The sequence below is a fragment of the Homo sapiens genome, chromosome 6, assembly GCF_000001405.40.
Source record: "Homo sapiens chromosome 6, GRCh38.p14 Primary Assembly".
Lineage (NCBI taxonomy): Eukaryota > Metazoa > Chordata > Mammalia > Primates > Hominidae > Homo > Homo sapiens.
Genome location: NC_000006.12, coordinates 41,947,060 through 41,966,826, shown reverse-complemented (window position 1 = coordinate 41,966,826; position 19,767 = coordinate 41,947,060). Strand labels below are relative to the sequence as shown.

The following is a 19,767-nucleotide window of genomic DNA, read 5'->3' as shown; positions in this document are numbered from 1 at the left end:
TGAGTGAATAAATTAATAAATCAAAAAGCTTGGGTTCCCCTCTAAAATGAGATTATTGTAATGGATGAAGAGGCATGACTCAGTAGATGGTTGATTTGGGAATAACCACATCCAGTCTAGAAGGGAGCTGACCCTCAGAATTTCTAGCTATGGGATAGACAGACCTGCCTAACTAAGAGACAGTTTACTGATAGACTGTGGTAAATTCTGTATGGAGATATACAGACAACAGAAGGAGAACATAATTCCTGGTTCGGTGGGGAGGGGAGGGTGTGCTTGTGGTTCTCAGCCCTGGATGTGTTTCGGAATCACCTGGAGATAAACATATAGAACCTGGGCTCCATGCCTAAGATTCTGATTTTCAGTTCTGGGAGTATAACAGGGCCATCAGAATTCTCTTTTTTTTTTGAGACAGGGTTTCACTGTCGCCCAGGCTAGAGTGTAGTGGTGGCAATTATGGCTCATTGCAGCCTCGACCTCCTGGGCTCCAGGGATCCTCCCACCTCAGCCTATAACTGGGACTACAGGCATGCACCACCATATCTGGCTGATTTTAGTTTTTGTGGAGCTCGGATATCTCTGTGTTGCCCAGAAGGTGGCCATCAGAATTAACAAGCTTACCAGGTGATCAGGACCTGAAGCCAAGCACTAAACATAATAATAACAGCACATACTATAAACTGGACATCTTAGGTATTTTCTCTTATTCTCATAACCATCCCTAAATGCAATTTATATTATCCCCATTTTACAGGCAGGAACACTGAGGTTTAAGTAATTTGGCCAAGGTCACACAGCACAGCCCATATTTTAATTAAGCTCTCAGTCTAAAGGCCTAAGTTATTTTGCCATATCCCATACAGCAGGAGGTCAGCCTGGAAGAATCTTCCCAGAAATTTAAATTAAGATAATTAACTCAGATGTAAACTGTAAAATCTGTACATAATGGGTCAGACAAAGATATGCAAGCGGATTTAAAGAGACACAAAGGCTCCGAGCTAGTGAAAGTTCGACCTTAACCCTACGGCATCGATTAACATATCAAAAGGAAGAATGTGTCCTTTGGGGTGGGAGGGCGCTTGGGCCAGTTAGTCTGATACTTTGTGAGCTGAGGGAGGGTTCCTGGCCCTGGCAGCATTGTGATCTGGTATTAACTCTTTCCCGTGGCTTCTGGTTTCTCCTGACCTTCCTGGCTGTTCTGTTTCCTTCCGTTTCTCCACCTACCCCTTAAATGTGGATGTTCCTTGCATTCCACTCTCCCCGTATTCCCAGGATGACTGCATCCACTTCGGGGCACAGCTGCCTGTGCTAAGGACTTCCAGAGGCGTGCACTCCTGAGGTCCTGACTCAAGGCATCAAGGCAATCCAGGGGAGTGGGAGAGGTGTTCTCAGACAGGACTGGAGTTCACATCCTAGCTGGGCGTCTTACTGGCTATGGGTCTTAGAAGTTACCTATTATTGCTGGGTGTGGTGGCTCACGCTTGTAATCCCAGCACTTTGGGAGGCCGGGGCAGGCGGATCACGAGGTCAGGAGTTCGAGACCAGCCTGACCAACATGGTGAAACCCCGTCTCTACTAAAAATACAAAAATTAGCCAGGCGTGATGGTGGGTGTTTGTAATCCCAGCTACTCGGGATGCTGAGACAGGAGAATTGCTTGAACCCAGGAGGCGGAAGTTGCAGTGAGCTGAGATTGTGCCACTGCACGCCAGCCTGGGCAACAAAGAGCGAAACTCTGTCAAAAAAAAAAAAAAAAAAAAAAAAAAAAAGCAACGTGAAATAGAGAACATTTTCCCCAAATCTGTTCTTCCACTTGGATTCCTATCAGAGGAAATAGAAACACCTTCCATGAAATTGCCAGAACCAGAAATCCTAGAGTCATCCTGGACTATCCCTCCACTACCAACAAAGGGGTCACTGAGTTCCAGTGATTTCTGTCTCCTGCATTTCTTTTATTCTCACAAGCTGCCCTTGGAACTTCTCACTAGGTTCTTGCAAGAACCTCTTAACTGCTCTCTACTTACTGGTTCCCAAACCTTAATGCTTAGCACTCAGGGTGTGGTTCAGATGAAACCCTGTAACAGCCCTCTGCTCCCTTTAGGGGACAAGTCCAGGTCTCTTGCAGACTCCTGCCACCCTGCTGTCATGCACCCAACCTGCTGGGTCTGCTGGCAGTGCTGAACCACATAGGCCAGATGCTCTCTCCTCACCTAGTTAGTTCCCACTCAGGATGCAGCTCAAGCAGCAGTAAGCAGCATCGCTGTCTTCCCTGGAAGAAGACTGTGTGCATGTGCATGCACACACATACACACTCACACACACACACACTCACACACACACATTCACACACACTCACACACACACTCACACACAGACTCACACATTCACACATACACACAAACACATTCACACACAGACACACACATTCACACATGCACACACACACTCACACACATTCACACATACACACACAGACTCACACACATTCACACACACATTCACACACACAGACTCACACACATTCACACATACTCACACACACACACATACACACGCTGGAGGAAGTGCTCCTCTCCTGAAGCTTCTGTCTTTCCAACAAGACTGGGAAACCCTTAACCCCCCAATACCTCTTGGGCATCTCTGGGTGCCTGGTATGTGGCATGCTCTCAGCAGGAGGCTCTTCTAATAAGGTTTAACATTTACGGAGCTTTACTGTGGGTCAAGCTCAGTTCAAAACATCTTCACAACTCTGTGGGGTGGGTATACTTTATTCATCCATTCTACTAATATTTATTGATTACTTCCCTCTGGCTAGGCCCTGGTCCAGGCACTGGGGATATGGCAGGGTAAAGATGATGGACAGTGCTAGAGGTGGGGGGAAGAGTCCCTGTTTTATCTCAGAAGATCAGGAAAGGTGAAAATGGAGCAGAGACTGAGGGAAGTGAGGAAAGGAGCTATGTGGAGATCTAGGGAAAGAGTGGTCCAGGCAGAGGGAACAGCCAGCTCAAAGGGGACTATTTGATGGTTTCTTCCTCCATTTGATGGAGTCCAGGTAAGTTATCCAGAGTCACAGACTAAGTGGCAGAGCTAGGTTTCAAACCCAGGTTCTGTAACTCTTGACTCATACCTCTTGAACCATGCTTCTTTACCATGTTTTGTGGGACACAGTAGCTGCCTTAGCAAGTGGTTCCACGTTCACCACCTCCCCCTCTGATTGGAGTTTGGCCTCCTGTGTCAAGGACAGCATGGCTGATTGCCTGCCTTGGTATCCAGCTTCACTTGTTGCCTCTGCTTTTCTGCTTTGTGTATTCATTTCTGTGGTCTGTATTAGAGACAGTGAGATTGTGTGTACTCTTCAGGCAGCTTCAATAAAGCACACTTTTCCTTATGTAAAGCTGAGACCCAGACCCTGAAATAGTGTGACTTGGCCAAGGCAAATTCCCCTTTACTAGTCAGCAATTAGGGTAGCCTCTGTGGGCAACCTGTGTGTCTCACATCACACCTTCCTTCAAGCTCCTTCAAGAGCTTCCTTCAAGCCACCTCTGGGGCTCTTTGCAGAGGTGATATTTGAGTTGGCCTTGAAGGACATGGAGCATTTCAAGAGGTGGAGATTGGGGAAGGATTTTAGGCAGAAAGAAGTGTGTGAGCTGAGCAAAAGCATCAATGCTGGGCCACTCAGGGACCTGGAGAGTAGATGCCTGTGTGTTGGGGAAGCAAAGATAAGGCTGGACGGAGAATTTAGGTCATGTCATGGCAGCCTTTAAAAAAATTATTTTTGGCCAGGCGTGGTGGCTCATGCCTGTAATCCCAGCACTTTGGGAGGCCGAGGCGGGCAGATCACGAGGGCAAGAGATTGAGACCATCCTGGCCAACATGGTGAAACCCCGTCTCTACTAAAAATACAAAAATTAGCTGGGCATATGGTGGCACGCGCCTGTAGTCCCAGCTACTTGGGAGGCTGAGACAGGAGAATCGCTTGAACCCGGGAGGTGGAGGTTGTGGTAAGCCAAGATTGCGCCATGGCGCTCCAGCCTGGGCAACAGAGTAAGACTCCGTCTCAAAAAAAAATTATTTTTTTGAGACAGGATCTCACTCTTGTCACGCAGGCTGGCGGGCAGTAGCATGATCACAGCTCACTGCAACCTCAGCCTCCCAGGCTCAAGTAATCTTCCCACCTAAGCCTCCTCAGTAAATAGGACTATAGGTGCACACCACATTTAGGTAATTTTTAATTTTTTTGTAGAGACGGGGTCTTGCTAGGTTGTGCAGTCCGATCTCAAACTCCTGGCCTCAAGCGATCCTCCTGTCTTGGCCTTGCAAAGTGCTGGGATTACAGGTGTAAGCCACTGTGCCTAGTCTGGTTTTAAGGTTTTGGGGAGCAAAAGAAGCACATGTGCATTCCTGAAGTCTTTGAAAGACTGCTTGGGCAGCCAGGCGCAGTGGCTCATGCCTGTAATCCCAACACTTTGCGAGGCCGAGGCAGGTGGATCACCTGAGGTCAGGAGTTCAAGACCAGCCTGGTCAACATGGTGAAACCCTGTCTCTACTAAAAATATAAAAATTAGCCAGGGTGGTGGCACGCACCTGTAATCCCAGCTACTGGGGAGGCTGAGGCAGAAGAATCGCTTGAACCTGGGAGGCGGAGGTTGCAGTGAGCCGATATCGTGCCACTACACTCCAGCCTGGGCGACAAGAGTGAAACTCCAACTCAAAAGAAAAAAAGAAAGACTGCTTGGGCAGTTGTGGGGAGCACAGGTTAGAGATGGTAACTGGTGGAAGAGAGGCTATTGCAGGAGTCCAAGTATTAGATGGGAGCACCTGAGCACTGAGTGGAAGGACCAGATTCCAGAGACATTTTGGAAGTATTGATGACAGGTCCTGCTTACAGGTTGATGTGGAAACTGTAGGAGCAGGAGGAGCTGAGAAAGAATGATGTCAGCATTTTCAGCTTGGGTGACTCAGCAGATCACTGTGAACTGACACACAATACACAAGAGAAGGGACAGGGACAGGATTTGAGCATCTTGAGTTTGAGGTACCGGGTGTGACATCCAGGTGGGGATGTGGGCTGGGAGTTTGGGGTGGAGGGTAGAGCTGGAGCAATGTCAAAGCTGAGGCTGAAGGAATAGAGGAGGTGTATGAGCAGACAGGGACTTGGCTTATCTAGAGGGAGGCAATGAAGGAGCTGTGGAGGAGCAGTTCGGAAGGCTAACGTAAGCGAGGACTGTTAGTTGTTGTTGTTTTTGTTGTTGTTGTTTTTTGAGACAGAGTCTCACTCTGTCACCCAGGCTGGAGTGCAGTGGCGCTATCTCGGCTCACTGCAACCTCTGCCTCCTGGCTTCAAGCGATTCTCCCATCTCAGCCTCACGAGTAGCTGGGATTACAGGCGCCTGCCACCATGCCCAGCTAATTTTTGTATTTTTAGTAGAGATAAGGTTTCACCATGATGGCCAGGCTGGTCTCAAACTGCTGACCTTGTGATCTGCCTGCCTCACCCTCCCAAAGTGCTGGGATTACAGGTGTGAGACACCACGCTTTGTTGGCCATGCTGGTCTTGAACTCCTGACCTCAGATGATCCACCTACCTCAGCCTCCCAAAGTGCTGGGATTACAGGCGTGAGCCACCACGCTCGGCCACAAGGATTGTTTTGATGAAGGCATTGCTGGGATTGTTTGACAGGGCTCAGCATCCGATGTCCCCACATCTCATGGAGACAGCAGAGTTGACCTCCCCTGGATTGTTTGCTCAGAAACGAGGGTTGCTTCTGCTCAGCCTGTGCTTCTTTCCTTGGCCTTTGTGTGTGCTGTCCTCTTCCCCTGCACATGACCAGCTTCCCTCTGCTGAGGGGAAACTCCTGAAAGTGGAGATCCTGAGTTCTCCCCCATTATTCTCCAGGAAGCTTAGCCTAGAGCTGTGCCCTGTGAGGCACAGAACACTAGCAAGGGGATTGAATGACTGAACAGAATGGGTGGCAGTGGTGATCTTGGTCCCCTGCTTTGCTTGGACGTTGAGGCCAGCCTTTTAAGGAGAACATCTTGTTTGAAGGAATGGGTATAATTTGCTCTCTGAATCTTGAGTTGCTTCAAGCTTACACCATCCATCCCTCTGTCCATCCATCCACCATGTACCAGATTTTTGCCAATGTAAATATCTACTAAAAGTTAAGCACTTTCAACATGGAGGTTGGGGGTCTCCTTGCACTTTTCATGCCCTCTGAGGTAGATAGTACTCCCCTATTTTGCAGATGAGGAATCAGATAATTTCCCCCGGTCACACACAAGTGGTAGAGGTGGGATTCACACCCAGGTTTGTCAACTTCAAAGCCCCCGTGCTCTCAATCACTCGTGTTAGAGGCCTCCCTGGAGAGAAGATGACCATGTAATTTATTATCCAAATTGGAATCCTTTATAAAAAAGTTTTATTGAGTTATAAGTTACATACCATAGCATTCACCTATCGAAAGTACAATCTTTTTAGTTTTTAGCATGCTTACAGAGCTATGTAGCTACTACCATAATCTAATTTTAGAACATTTTCATCCTCCCCAAAATAGACACTTGGGACCCATTAGCAGTCACTCTCCATTATCACCACCACCCAGTCACTGGCAACCATGAATCTGCTTTCTGTCTCTATAGATTTGCCTGTTCTGGATGTTCCAAATAAGTGGAATCATATTAATATGTGGTCTTTTGTACGTGGCTTCTTTCACTTTTACCGTGATGGTTTCAGGACTCATCCGTGTTGTAGCATGCATCAATACTGCACTCCTTTTTATGGCTAAATGATATTCCACTGTATGCATATGCCATATTATTTCATTTATTCATATGTCCACAAATGTTGGGTTGTTTCCATTTTTTTTTTTTTTGAGACGGAGTCTCGCTCTGTTGCCCAGGTTGGAGTGCAGTGTCGCGATCTCAGCTCACTGCAACCTCTGCCTCCTAGGTTCAAGCGATTCTCCTGCCTCAGCCTCCCAAGCAGCTGGGACTACAGGCACGTGCCACCATGCCCAGCTAATTTTTGTATTTTTAGTAGAGATAGGATTTCACCATATTGACCAGGCTGATCTCCAGCTCCTGACCTCGTGGTCAGGCTCCCAAAGCGCTGGGACTACAGGTGTGAGCCACCGCGCCTGGCCTGATTTAGTCTTGCTGTGTCGCCAGGCTGGAGTGCAGTGGCGCAATCTCGGCTCACTGCAACCTCCGACTCCCTGGTTTAAGTGATTCTCCTGCCTCAGCCCCCATCCCGAGTAGCTGGGATTACAGGCACACACCACCACGCCCAGCTAATTTTTTGTATTTTTAGTAGAGACGGGGTTTCACCATGTTGGCCAGGATGGTCTCAATCTCCTGACCTTGTGATCTGCCCACCTTGGCCTCCCAAAGTGCTGGCCTGGCTCACAGGCGTGAGCCACTGCGCCTGGCCTGGGTTATTTCCATTTTTGGCCATTATGAATAATGATCCTCTGACATTTGTTTGTTTGGTTTTGTTTTGCTTTTTGTTTATTTTGAGATGGAGTTTTGCTCTTGTTGCCCAGGTTGGAGTGCAATGAGGCAATCTCGGCTCACCGCAACCTCCGCCTCCTGGTTTCGAGCCATTCTCCTGCCTCAGCCTCCCGAATAGCTGAGATTACAGGTATGCGCTATCACTCCCAGCTAATTTCGTATTTTTAGTAGAGATGGGGTTTCTCCATGTTGGTCAGGCTGGTCTCGAACTCCTGACCTCAGGTGATCCACCAGCCTCGGCCTCCCAAAATGCTGGGATTACAGGCGTGAGCCACCGTGCCCGGCCGATCCTCTGACATTTGTATACAAGTTTTTGTGTGGATGTACGTTTTTATTTTTCATGGTGTATACCTAGAAGTGGAATTGCTAGGTTAGGTGGTAACTCTATTGAACATTTTGAGGAACTGCAGAACTGTTTTCTGAAGTAGTGATACCATTTTACATTTTTACCAGCAGTGTGTGAATGTTCTAGTTTCTCCACATTGTGACTAACACTTGTTTCCGAACTGAGACGCTTCTGAGAGTGAAAGGGTGCACCATTAAGAAATATGCCAATAAGACTGACATTAACTGGAACATATTCTTACCCTACCTAGATACCAAAAAAATTAGAAGATTCAATTCCTGATTTCAGGGAACTTTCTGGCCACATGATGAGTCAAAGCCCCAAACCCACATACTTGAGTCAATTAAATAATCAAGTAAAGGTAAATTAGTAAGAAGGAAAGCAAAGCACATCTAAATTCCCCCAGGAGACTATATTCTCTTTAAGAGAAAAGAACTGTTTTATTTGTCTTTGTATTGTTTGTGGCCCCAGGTATATCTTGTGTTTGATAGGATCTCAATAAAGTTCTGTGGACCAAGTGAATGAATAATACAAATTCTACTGTACAGAATAGAATGACTCACCTAGCAGGGGTTTTCGAGTTTGGGGGAAGTATGGCTTTTTGCTAAAAATGTAAATATATATTTTTTGCTCCATGCTGTAACAACCCTAATGACAATTTAAAAATGAAAAAGTAGGCCAGGCATGGTGGCTCACACCTGTAATCCCAGCACTTCGGGAGGCCAAGGTGGGCGAATCACTTGGAGTCAGGAGTTCAAGACCAGCCTGGCCAACATGGTGAAAACCCGTCTCTACTAAAAATACAGAAATTAGCTGGGCATGGTGGCTTGCAACTGTAGTCCCAGCTACTCAGGAGGCTGAGGCAGGGAATCACTTGAACCCAGGAGGTGGAGGTTGCAGTGAGCTGAGATTGCATCACTGGTCTGTCTGTCTGGGTGACAGAGAGATTCTGTCTCAAAAAAAAAAAAAAAAGATAAAGATAAAGTAAGGTAAAGTTTGGTGGCTCATACCTGTAATCCCAGCACTTTGGGAAGCCGAGGTAGGAGGATTGCTTGAGGCCAGGAGTTCGAGACCAGCTTGGACAACATAGACCCCATCTCTGCAAAAAATTTTAAAAAACAAAAATAAATAGAAATGAAAAAGCAAATAACCTACAATGAGAGGAATCTGGAACTGTGAATGGCTGACAACAGGTTGGGAAAGACTATCCAAACAGGGGAATTGCCTGAGCAGAGAGGCAGGAATCAAAGCACACATCTTCATGCAGGGTACCTCTTCCAGCAGGTTAACCTTTGGAACTACAAAGATGTGGTGCCTACCCTCAGGAATTTCCATTTTTTTGGGAGAAAACAGGATTTATTCACAGGAAACAAGGAGAATACTTTACAACAACCATTAAGTGGATGCGTGCCCTTAAGCGACATTGATCCTTCTGGCCCTAAATTTCTGTGATCTTTCAATTCCACACCCTGCGAGCTTCATGGAACAGATGGGCCAGGAGCTAGGCCTTAAGGGAAGAGGCTGGATTTGGAGAAAGAAGCAGGATGCCAGCGGTGGGTGATAAGGCCCAGAGGTGGGCTGGAGTGCTAGGGCTGAGATAAAATTGGTTAGGGCTGCTGGGGCCTCTTCTTGAAGGCAATTTTGAAAACCAGGCTGGTTGTCTTTTAAATTTAACCTGATAAGCAGGTCCTTGGACTGAAGACGAAAGGAGTGTCTGTGAGAGATTAATCAGATGGCCTTGGGCCATTGATTTGGATCTATCTGGAAGCAATGTGAAGATGAGGCTCTCTGGGAGGCTTTTGCAACAGTAATATAGGCCCAGCCTTTCAACGGAGGATTTGAAAACCCCTAGGAAAACTCCTTCTGCCAGTTGTTTGTGTGGAGTTAACTTTTCCTTTAGTAACTTAAACCATTGTTTTTTGTTTGTTTGTTTGTTTGTTTTGAGACGGAGTCTCATTCTGTTGCCCAGGCTGGAGTGCAGTGGTGCGATCTTGGCTCACTGCAAGTTCCGCCTCCCGGGTTCATGCCATTCTCCTGCCTCAGCCTCCCCAGCAGCTGGGAATACAGGCGCCTGCCACCACGCCCGGCTAATTTTTTTTTGTATTTTTAGTAGAGGCGGGGTTTCACTGTGTTAGCCAGGATGGTCTCGATCTCCCCACCTCGTGATCCGCCCGCCTCAGCCTCCCAAAGTGCTGGGATTACAGGCTTGAGCCACCGCGCCTGGCCACCATTGTTTTATATTACAACAATTAGGGCTATCTTAAGGGCCAGAATCCAAGATGTATATAGGTTTCTAAGGCAGAATATTTAGACTTCAAATAAATTTCAGTTTTGCAGAGGGCAATCAGATTTAGATCATGCTATCAGATTCCTCAGAGAAATCCATTCTTCTTTGCTGTAAAGGGTTTAAAATCTGAGGACTAAAGAAAGATGGTGCCATACATAAACATGTGTAAGTTGCAAGCAGGGTGGGAATATGATGGCCTACCTTTAGAACGTTGAGGATCAGCCTTGCTTAGTACTAGGAAAGTTCTGGCCAGGTTGGTAATGGAGGCGGAGCCAGCACCTCATGGTCTTTCCCAGCCCTTTCTAAAGGCCCTAGTTCTGCCCACTGAACTGGCATGTTTGGCACTTTCCTGGTTTATGTTTATTTATTTATTTTATTTTATTTTATTTTTTTTGAGAAGGAGTCTCGCTCTGTCGCCCAGGCTGGGGTGCAGTGGCACAATCTTGGCTCACCGCAACCTCCACCTCCTGGGTTCAAGTGATTCTCCTGCCTCAACTTCCCAAGTAGCTAGGATTACAGGGGCCCACCACCACACCCGGCTAATTTTTGTATTTTTAGTAGAGACAGGGTTTCACCATGTTGGCCAGGCTGGTCTTGAACTCCTGACTTTGTGATCCACCCACCTCCGCCTTCCAAAATGCTGGGATTATAGGCGTGAGCCACCACGCCCGGCCCTACATTTAAATATATACATATTTAAAATTTTTATTCAATCAGCTTTCTCAAGTTGAATTTTTTATTTTCTTCTGAGATACGGTTTCGCTCTGCTGCCCAGGTGCAATCACACCTCACTGCAGCCTTGACCTCCTAGGCATAAGCAATTTTCCTGCCTCAGCCTCCCATGTAGCTGAGACTGCAGGCATGCACCACCATACCTGGCTAATTTTTAATTAATTAATTTTTTTTTGTAGAGACAGGGTCTTACTTTGTTGCCCAGGCTGGTTTCAAACTCCTGGCCTCGAGCAATCCTCCTGCCTCCTTAGTCTCCCAAAGTGCTGGGATTACAGTTTGGCTAATTTTTTTTTTTTTTTTTTGTAGAGATAGGGTCACCATGCCGGCTTGCCTGGTTTACTTTTAATGTGTCACCACTAAGATGTTTGCTGTGGGGTTTCAGTAGCTATCCTATGTAAGACTAGGGAAGTTCCCACTTATCCCTGCTTTGCCAAGAGTTTTTTCTTATGAATGGATGTTGACTTTTATCAAACACTTTTTTGGTATCTGTTGATGTAGTCATATGATTTTCCCTCTTTAATCTGTTAGTGTGATCAATTATATTGGTTTTTTTTCAAAATAATAAACTAACCATGCACTTTGGTATACAGTCAACTTAATCACAACATATTACCCTTTTTACATATTGGCTGGAATCAGTTTGCTAATATTTTGCTTAGGATTTTGCATCCATGTTCATAAGTGTAATTTTTTTTCACATATTGTTCTTGTTGGGTTTTGGAATCATTATATTAAAAATGATTTGAAGTGAACCTCTCTTTATATTCTCTGAAAGCGTTTGTGTAAGATTGAAATTACTTCTTTCTTGAATGTTTGGGAGAATGCTGCCTGTTTGCTATTGAAGGTTGCCCCATCAGGTGGGTGTTAGTAGAGAAAGTAGTGATAGTAAAGATATTTAACTTGAGGGGTAAACATAGCTTAAACAATAAGGAAAATTTTATATCTTTCACACATCACAAAAAGTCCAGAGGTAGGTGGTTCAGGATTGGTTAATTCAGCAGCTTAATAACATCATCAGGGAGGAAAATTCATTCCAGTCATTCTCAGGTGCCAGCTCCTTCTTTCATTATTGCAAGATGGCTGCAGCTGCTCCAGGCATCGCAGCACAGTGGTTAAGCATGTTGATTCTACATGCCAAACCTGGCTCCAAAGCCCATCACTGTAGGACAATTGAGTAAATTGCTTAACCTCTCTGTAAAATGGGATAATAATACTTTAATTCAGAAGTTTGATATTATGTGGATTAAATGAATGAGGCTAGGCACGATGGCTCAGGTCTGTAATCCTAGCACTTTGGGAGGTGGAAGCAGAAGGATCACTGGAGGCCAGGAGTTCAAGACCAGCCTGGGTAACACAGTAAAGCCCCCTCCATCTCTAAACAAAATTTTTTTTTTTTTTTTTTGAGACAGAGTCTTGCTCTGTCACCCAGGCTGGAGTGCAATGGCGCTATTCTCCGCTCACCGCAACCTCCGCCTCCAGGGTTCAAGTAATTCTCCTGCCTCAGCCTCCCGAGTGGCTGGGATTACAGGCGCACGCCACAACACCCGGCTAAATTTTTGTATTTTTAGTAGAGATGGGGTTTCACCATGTTGGCCAGGCTGGTCTGAACTCCTGACCTCGTGATTCGCCTGCCTCAGCCTCCCAAAGTGCTGGGATTACAGGTATGAGCCACCACACCTTTTTTTTTTTTTTTTTTTTTTTTTAAGGCAGAATCTTGCTCTGTACCCCAGGCTGGAGTGCAGCGGTGCAATCTCAGCTTACCACAACCTCCGCCTCCCAGGTTCAAGTGATTCTCCTGCCTCAGCCTCTGGAGTAGCTGGGACTATAGGTGCACACCACCACACTGGGCTAATTTTTGTATTTTTAGTGGAGATGGGGTTTTGCCATGTTGGCCAGGCTGGTCTCAAACTCCTGGCCTCAAGTGATCCACCAGCCTTGGCCTCCCAAAGTGCTGGGATTAAAGGCGTGAGCCACTGCCCCCGGCCACCAAAAATTTTTTTTAAATGAGATTTATTTTTTTTTCAAACTCTTAAAGTAGTGCCTGGCACATAGTAAGTATTCAGTAATGTGCCATGTCTTCCTCCATTCTCACACAAAGCAGGAAAGAAGCTGTTTTCCTCCCGTGCCCCACTGATGGAAGTCCCTTAGCAGACCCACCTCCACATTTGATTGGTCAGAATTACAGCAAGTGCCCATTCCTAAACCACTTGTGGAATTACCGTGATTTGGTTTGGAGTAACTTGGATTCAACCTCCAAGACCAGGGAGTCCCTGACCTCCCCTGAAACACAAGACCACCGGATAGCTCAACAAAACCTGGGTTCTGTTCACAACAGAGAGGCTGGAGTGGTGAAGGTGGGAGTGGTCTGTTGGGTCACACAAGGAAGGGCAAAATGGGAATCCCCATTCTTACTGGTTCTCCATGAGATTCCTTGGGCACTGAAATAATTACCCCTTGGATTTACCTACTACTGCAGTTTACTTAGTGCTTTTTAACTCATGCATTATCTCATCCAGTCCTAGAGCCACCCTCTAAGTAGTCTTGTTATCCCCCTTTGACAGGCTGAGAAAAGCTCCCAGAGTCAAGGCACTTGCCCAGTTGTGTATATATAGTTGGGACAGAGCCAGGTCCTGGGACTCAAGTCGAAGTCTTCAGACTCAATGTTTTGCACCTTTTTTTTTTTTTTTGTGAGAGGGAGTCTCACTCTGTCACCCAGGCTGGAGTGCAGTGGCGCGATCTCGGCTCACTGCAACCTCCGCCTCCTGGGTTCAAGCAATTCTCCTGCCTCAGCCTCCCAAGTAGCTGGGATTACAGCCATCACGCCCGGCGAATTTTTGTATTTTTAGTAGAGACAGGGTTTCACCATATCGGCCAGGCTGGTCTTAAACTCCCGACCTCAGGTGATCTGCCTGGCTCGGCCTCCCAAAGTGCTGGGATTACAGGCATAAGCCACTGCACCCCCTGTTTTGCAGTTTTATTTGTCTTCCATCAATTCCCAATGCCTGTCATTGGCCACCCTGACAACTGCCACATCCTTGTGCCCCTTCTGCTATTGTCTATGTAATATTATATTAACAATTATTCATTAAGAAGAAACTTGATGAAATCCCACGTTTCATGTCACACACACACACACACACACTCACACTCACTACTTTAAAATGAGCACAGTGTATTTATTTGGGCTTAGAGCGTGGGCTCTGGCATTTGATTGCCTTGGTTGGAGTCCCAGCTCTGCCACTGTAGCACATGCAGTTGGTCTCCACCCAGGTGTCCATGGCACTTACCATTCGAGAGTGCACCAGCCTCACTTCCAAGTGCTGACACTGTCACTTTGCTTGAGGGCTTCTTCTGACTATCAGAGTCCATCGCGCCCTCCCACAAAAAGGCTGGAAGTACTGGGGAATTAATTCCACTCCTCCTCCATCCCCAAGCAGCCCTCATACAATGGCTGTTGGGAATTGGTAGACAAGTCTCCCTGCTCCCTCACGCCTCAGGTACAATAGCTGTCAAGCACGCACTTTTGATTGTCTCCCAGTTCCAAGGCAGGATTGAGCTCCATTTGTCCACCATGGTTAACAATAACGCAGTCTTCACTGGCCTCTGTCCCTTCCCTGCTCATTTCTCCACCCGCTTTAGCTGCTTCATGGAATCGCCTCTCAGGTAAATTATTTCACTTGAATCCTTGTCTCAAGGTCTGCTTCTGGGAAGCCCAAATTGAGACAGACTTTTGCTAGCTGTATGGCTGGCACTGGGTGTTGCCTAATCCCTTTGTATCTCTCTTTTTCCTATCTGTAATGGAAGGAGAATAATAGCACCTCTACCTCACAGTACAGGTGTGGTACAGCTCTCAGTGCCTGGCTAGGAGAAAGCACTTAACAAGTGGGATCTAGGCTGGGCGTGGTGGCTCATGCCTGTAATCCCAGCACGTTGGGAGGCCGAGGCGGGTGGATCACCTGAGGTCAGGAGTTCAAGACCAGCCTGGCCAACATGGTGAAACCGCGTCTCTACTAAAAATACAAAAAAAACTAGCTGAGTGTGGTGGCGAGCACCTGTAATCCCCGCTACTTAGGAGGCTGAGGCAGGAGAATTGCTAGAACCCGGGAGGCAGAGGTTGCAGTGAGCTGAGATCACACCACTGCACTCCAGCCTGGGCGACAGAGCGAGACTCTGTCTCAGAAAATAAAAAAAATAAAAAATAAGTGGGATCTATTATTATTACTACCTAATAGTATTATTACTATTATTGCTCTGGTGTGCTATCAGGGGTGTTGTGCCACACTGGGGACATACTACTCCTGACCCCCCACCTAAACTTTCTTTGGATGCCCTCTTCTTCCTGCTTCTCTCTTCTTACTCCCACTTAATCTTTTTTTTTGTGTGTGTGTGTGTGTGTGTGTGTGTGTGTGTGTCGCTCAGGCTGGAGTGCAGTGACATGATCTCAGCTCACTGCAAGCTCTGCCTCCCGGGTTCACGCCATTCTCCTGCCTCAGCCTCCCGAGTAGCTGAGTAGCTGGGACTACAGGCGCCTGCTACCATGCCCGGCTAATTTTTTGTATATTTAGTACAGACGGGGTTTCACCATATTGGCCAGGTTGGTCTCGATCTCTTGACTTCGGATCCACCCACCTTGGCCTCCCAAAGTGCTGGGATTACAGGCGTGAGCCACCGCGCCTGGCCTACTCCCACTTAATCTCTAAACTCCTGCAATCCCATTTCTTTCACCATGGCTGTTTCATGGAATTCAGGTGATCAGAACCACCAATCTCCACCAGTCCCAGGACAGCCCACCCTTCCTGTCACACAAACCACCCTGCCTACTTCTGATGGGTGTTGCAAATGCCGAGGTAAAAGTCTTCTGTCTTCATGACATCTTAGGATTCCTGCATCATGGAGGATCATCATATCATGCACTTTAGACTGGAAGCTTAAAAGGGTGGCTTCTCGGCCCAGCGCAGTGGCTCACGCCTGTAATCCCAGCACTTTGGGAGGCCGAGGCGGGCGGATCACGAGGTCAGGAGATCAAGACCATCCTGGCTAACACGGTGAAACCCCAACTCTACTAAAAATACAAAAAATTAGCTGGGCGTGGTGGGGGGCGCCTGTAGTCCCAGCTACTCGGGAGGCTGTGGCAGGAGAATGGCGTGAACCTGGGAGGCGGAGCTTGCCGTGAGCTGAGATCGCGCCACTGCACTCCAGCCTGGGTGACAGAGAGAGACTCCATCTCAAAAAAAAAAAAAGAAAAAAAAAAGGGAGTCTTCTCATCTCTGACCCATGTCCAGCATGTCCCAGGGCTTCCGAAGGCCTGCCTGATGTATGGAAGGCACATGATAAGGCACCTGATTGTTAATGACCACAGCTATCTTTATTGACCACCTACTATGAGCCTGGGACAGCTAAAGTACTTTTCCCTTATTAATCCCCTCATTCACCATATGAAATAGGAGTTGTTACCATCCTCCTTTTGCAAATGAGAAGGCTGGGACGGAAAAGTTAAGTAAACTGCCCAGGATCACACAATCACACAGCTGGCAAATAGCAGAGCTGGGCATCAACCTAAATCCAGAGCTCACTTACTTAATGACTAAGCCAAACTAATGCCAGTGCTATCTCCTGCCTAGAATGAGGAATGCTTGCCAGCCAAGAACCGAAGACAGCTCTCTTTTTGCAGGTATATTGCTGTAGCAGGTTACCCTTCCACACCTGAGGCCCTGTGTGCACCTCAGTCTTACCTGTGGAACAGGAATCTCAAGCAGAATGACAGAACAGGAAAGCCTCATTTATTCAGAACCCAGACAGCCAGAAAAAGGAAGAAAAAGCAAATGCTTAAATATATAGGTTGTATTCTTTTTTTTTTTTTTTTAATCTTGCTCTGTTGTCCAGGCTGGAGTGCAGTGGCGTGATCTTGGCTCACTGCAAGCTTCCCGGGTTCACGCCATTCTCCTACCTCAGCCTCCCGAGTAGCTGGGACTACAGGCACCCGCCACCACACCTGGCTATTTTTTTTTTTTTTTGATATTTTTAGTAAAGACAGGGTTTCATCGTGTTAGCCAGGATGGTCTCAACCTCCTGACCTTGTGATCCGCCCGCCTCGGCCTCCCAAAGTGCTGGGATTACAGGCTTGAGCCACCACACCCGGCCCTGTAGGTTGTATTCTTATTTTATGAGGAGAGACTTGACAGTTTCAGGCTAGTACCTGAGGTTTCTTTTCCCAAGCAGCTTATAAGCTAGAAATTGCAAACTGCTTTTTGTCCCTCAGACCTGGTATATAGGCATATTATGTGTGGCTTGCACGGTTTTGTTACTGTTTTTCAACTCAAGTAATATAGATATTTTAGGAAATTTCTTTTTTTTTTGTTTTGAGACGGAGTCTCGCTCTGTCGCCGCCTCCCAAAGTGCTGGGATTACAGGTGTGAGCCACTGCGCCTGGCGGAAATTTCTTTTCTTTTGAGACACAGTTTCATTCTGTCCCCCGGGCTGGAGTGCAGTGGCACGATCTCGGCTCACTGCAACCTCTGCCTCCTGGGTTAAAGCGATTCTTCTACCTCAGCCTCTTGAGTAGCTGGGATTACAGGCGTGCGTCACCATGCCTAGCTAATTTTTGTATTTTCAGTAGAGATGGGGTTCCACTATGTTGGCCAGGCTGGTCTTGAACGCCTGGCCTCGCTGGTCTTGAACGACTGGCCTCAAGTGATCCACTCACCTCAGCCTCCCAAAGTGCTGCGATTACAGGCATGAGCCACCACACCCAGCCTTTTTCTTTTCTTTTGTAGTAATGGGGTCTTGCTGTGCTGCCTAGGCTGGTCTTGAACCCCTGGCCTCAGTGATCCTCCCAACTTAGCCTCTCAAAGTGCAGGGATTGCAGGCGTGAGCCATCATGCCCGATCTAAGAAATATTATCTTGGGGAAACAGGGAATCTATGGCCACACTCATTACTATGGTGTAGCAAAAGTCTGAAGCTAAGCAGTACTTTTTGAGCTTTGGATGGGACATGTGCTATCTACTGTGTCTGGCCCCAACAGCTCCCTTAACCCCATGTGAGTTGCCATTTATCATGTGGTGTATGCTGGTGTTTTTCTTTTTTCTTTTTTTCTTTTTTTTTTTTTTGAGATGGAGTCTCGTTCTGTAGTCCAGGCTGGAGTGCAGTGGCACGATCTCAGCTCACTGCAACCTCCGCTTCCCGGGTCCCGGTTCAAGCAATTCTCTTGCCTTAGCCTACTGAGTAGCTGGGATTACAGGCACGCGCCACCATGCCCAGCTAATTTTTTTGTATTTTTTACTAGAGACGGGGTTTCACCATGTTGGCCAGGCTGGTCTTGAACTCCTGACCTAGTGATCTGCCTGCCTCGGCCTCCCAAAGTGCTGGGATTACAGGCGTGAGCCACCGCGCCCAGCCTGGTGTTTTTCTTATATCCAGTTTGTTTTATTCATTAACTCAAAAAAGATTTATTGAGCCAGACGTGGTAGTGCACGCCTATAGTCCCAGCTACTTGGGAAGCTGAGGTGGGAAGACCACTTGAGCCTGGGAGATAGAGGCTGCAGTGAGTCGTTATCATGCCACTGCTTCCAGCCTGGGTGACAGAGTGAGACCCTGTCTCAAAAAAAAAAACAAAAAAAAACAAAAAACTTACTGAACATCTACTATGAACTGGATACCATCCTGTTTTGGTGGTGTGGTGTGGGAGTAGACAAGCTGTAAACAGAATATGCAAGCAAAGTATATGCTATACTAGTGATCAGTGGTAAGCAGAAAAATAAAGCAGGGAAAGAGCATAAGAAGTGTCAGGGCTGGGGAGCTGGCATTAAAAATTTAGGTAGGATGGCCAGGAAAGGCTGTAAGAGGAATGCAACTTTTGGACTTCCTGAAGGAAGTGAGGGAGTGGGCCATGTGGATATCCGGAGGCAGAACATTCCAGGCAGATGGAACAGCACGTGCAAAGAGAACATGTCTGCCCGGTGTGTTCCATGAACCGTGTGGCCAGAGCACAGTGAGGGAGAGTAGTGGGAAATGGGGTGGGAGTATAGATGCTGCAGGGTCTTTGGCAGTCACTCCAAATGAAATGGGGAGCCTCTGAGAGTGATGGGTTGAGACTAGACTGGAGGGCCAAGGGTGGGTCAGGGAGACCCGGCAGGAGGCTACCACTGTAATCCAGGTAAGAGATGATGCAACTCGGACCGGGGGGTAGAAGTGGAAATCGAGAAAAGAAGGGGATTGGAGATGTATTTTTGACGTAGAATCAACCAGAAGTGGGTCGCAGGTTGGATGTGGGGGACCAGTAAGGTCAAGGAAGAACTGAGTTTGGACAGAGGAAGTAACAGAGGAGGAAAAAAAGAGTAGATTTTGGAAATATTTTGAAATTATTAATAGCTCCTCTGTGATCTGCTGATCAGAGTGTGGGGATTGTGTGGGATTTGAGAAAGAGGAGTCAGGAATGACACCAAGTGTTTGGCCTGAGCCATTGGAAGGATGGAGTTGCCATTTTCTGAGATAAGCCTGTAGGAAGAGCGGGTTTTTTGGGGAAAGATTAGGATATCAGTTTTGGAGAAATTGAGTTTAACTGGCCTATCGGACATCCTTGTGGTGTTGCCAAGAAGGCAGCCTCCAGTATAAAATGGAAACTAAAAACAGGTCAGTTCACACCAACTCTGATTTGGTAGTGCTGCCTAAAGTGCTGTGTTGGGATTTTAAATGCCCATCCAGGCTGTTTCTTTTCTTTTCTTTTTTTTTTTTTGAGACGGAGTCTTGCTCTGTTGCCCAGGCTGGAGTGCAGTGGCGCGATCTCAGCTCACTGCAACCTCTACCTGGTGGGTTCAAGCGATTCTCCTTCCTCAGCCTCCTGAGTAGCTGGGATTACAGGCATGCGCCACCATGCCCAGCTAATTTTTTTTGTAT

The 19,767-nt window shown here is 47.0% G+C and overlaps 1 protein-coding gene across 8 annotated transcripts in view, besides 2 other annotated features; it reads left to right on the top strand.

Moving 5' to 3' along the window:
* The window catches only part of CCND3 (cyclin D3), a 115,103-nt gene that overhangs the window by 83,209 nt on the left and 12,127 nt on the right, over positions 1–19,767 (top strand). The window lies entirely within an intron of this gene.
* Positions 1,344–1,854: an enhancer, noted in NCBI's record as "H3K27ac hESC enhancer chr6:41932711-41933221 (GRCh37/hg19 assembly coordinates)". NCBI's record gives its function as "activates a minimal SCP1, AML or CMV promoter by ChIP-STARR-seq in primed H9 embryonic stem cells {active_cell/tissue: H9 hESC(primed)}" and the evidence as "EXISTENCE:reporter gene assay evidence [ECO:0000049][PMID:30033119]".
* Positions 5,730–5,927: a silencer, noted in NCBI's record as "fragment chr6:41928638-41928835 (GRCh37/hg19 assembly coordinates)". NCBI's record gives its function as "represses an EF-1alpha promoter that drives an FKBP-Casp9 reporter gene in an ReSE screen in HepG2 liver carcinoma cells {active_cell/tissue: HepG2}" and the evidence as "EXISTENCE:reporter gene assay evidence [ECO:0000049][PMID:32094911]".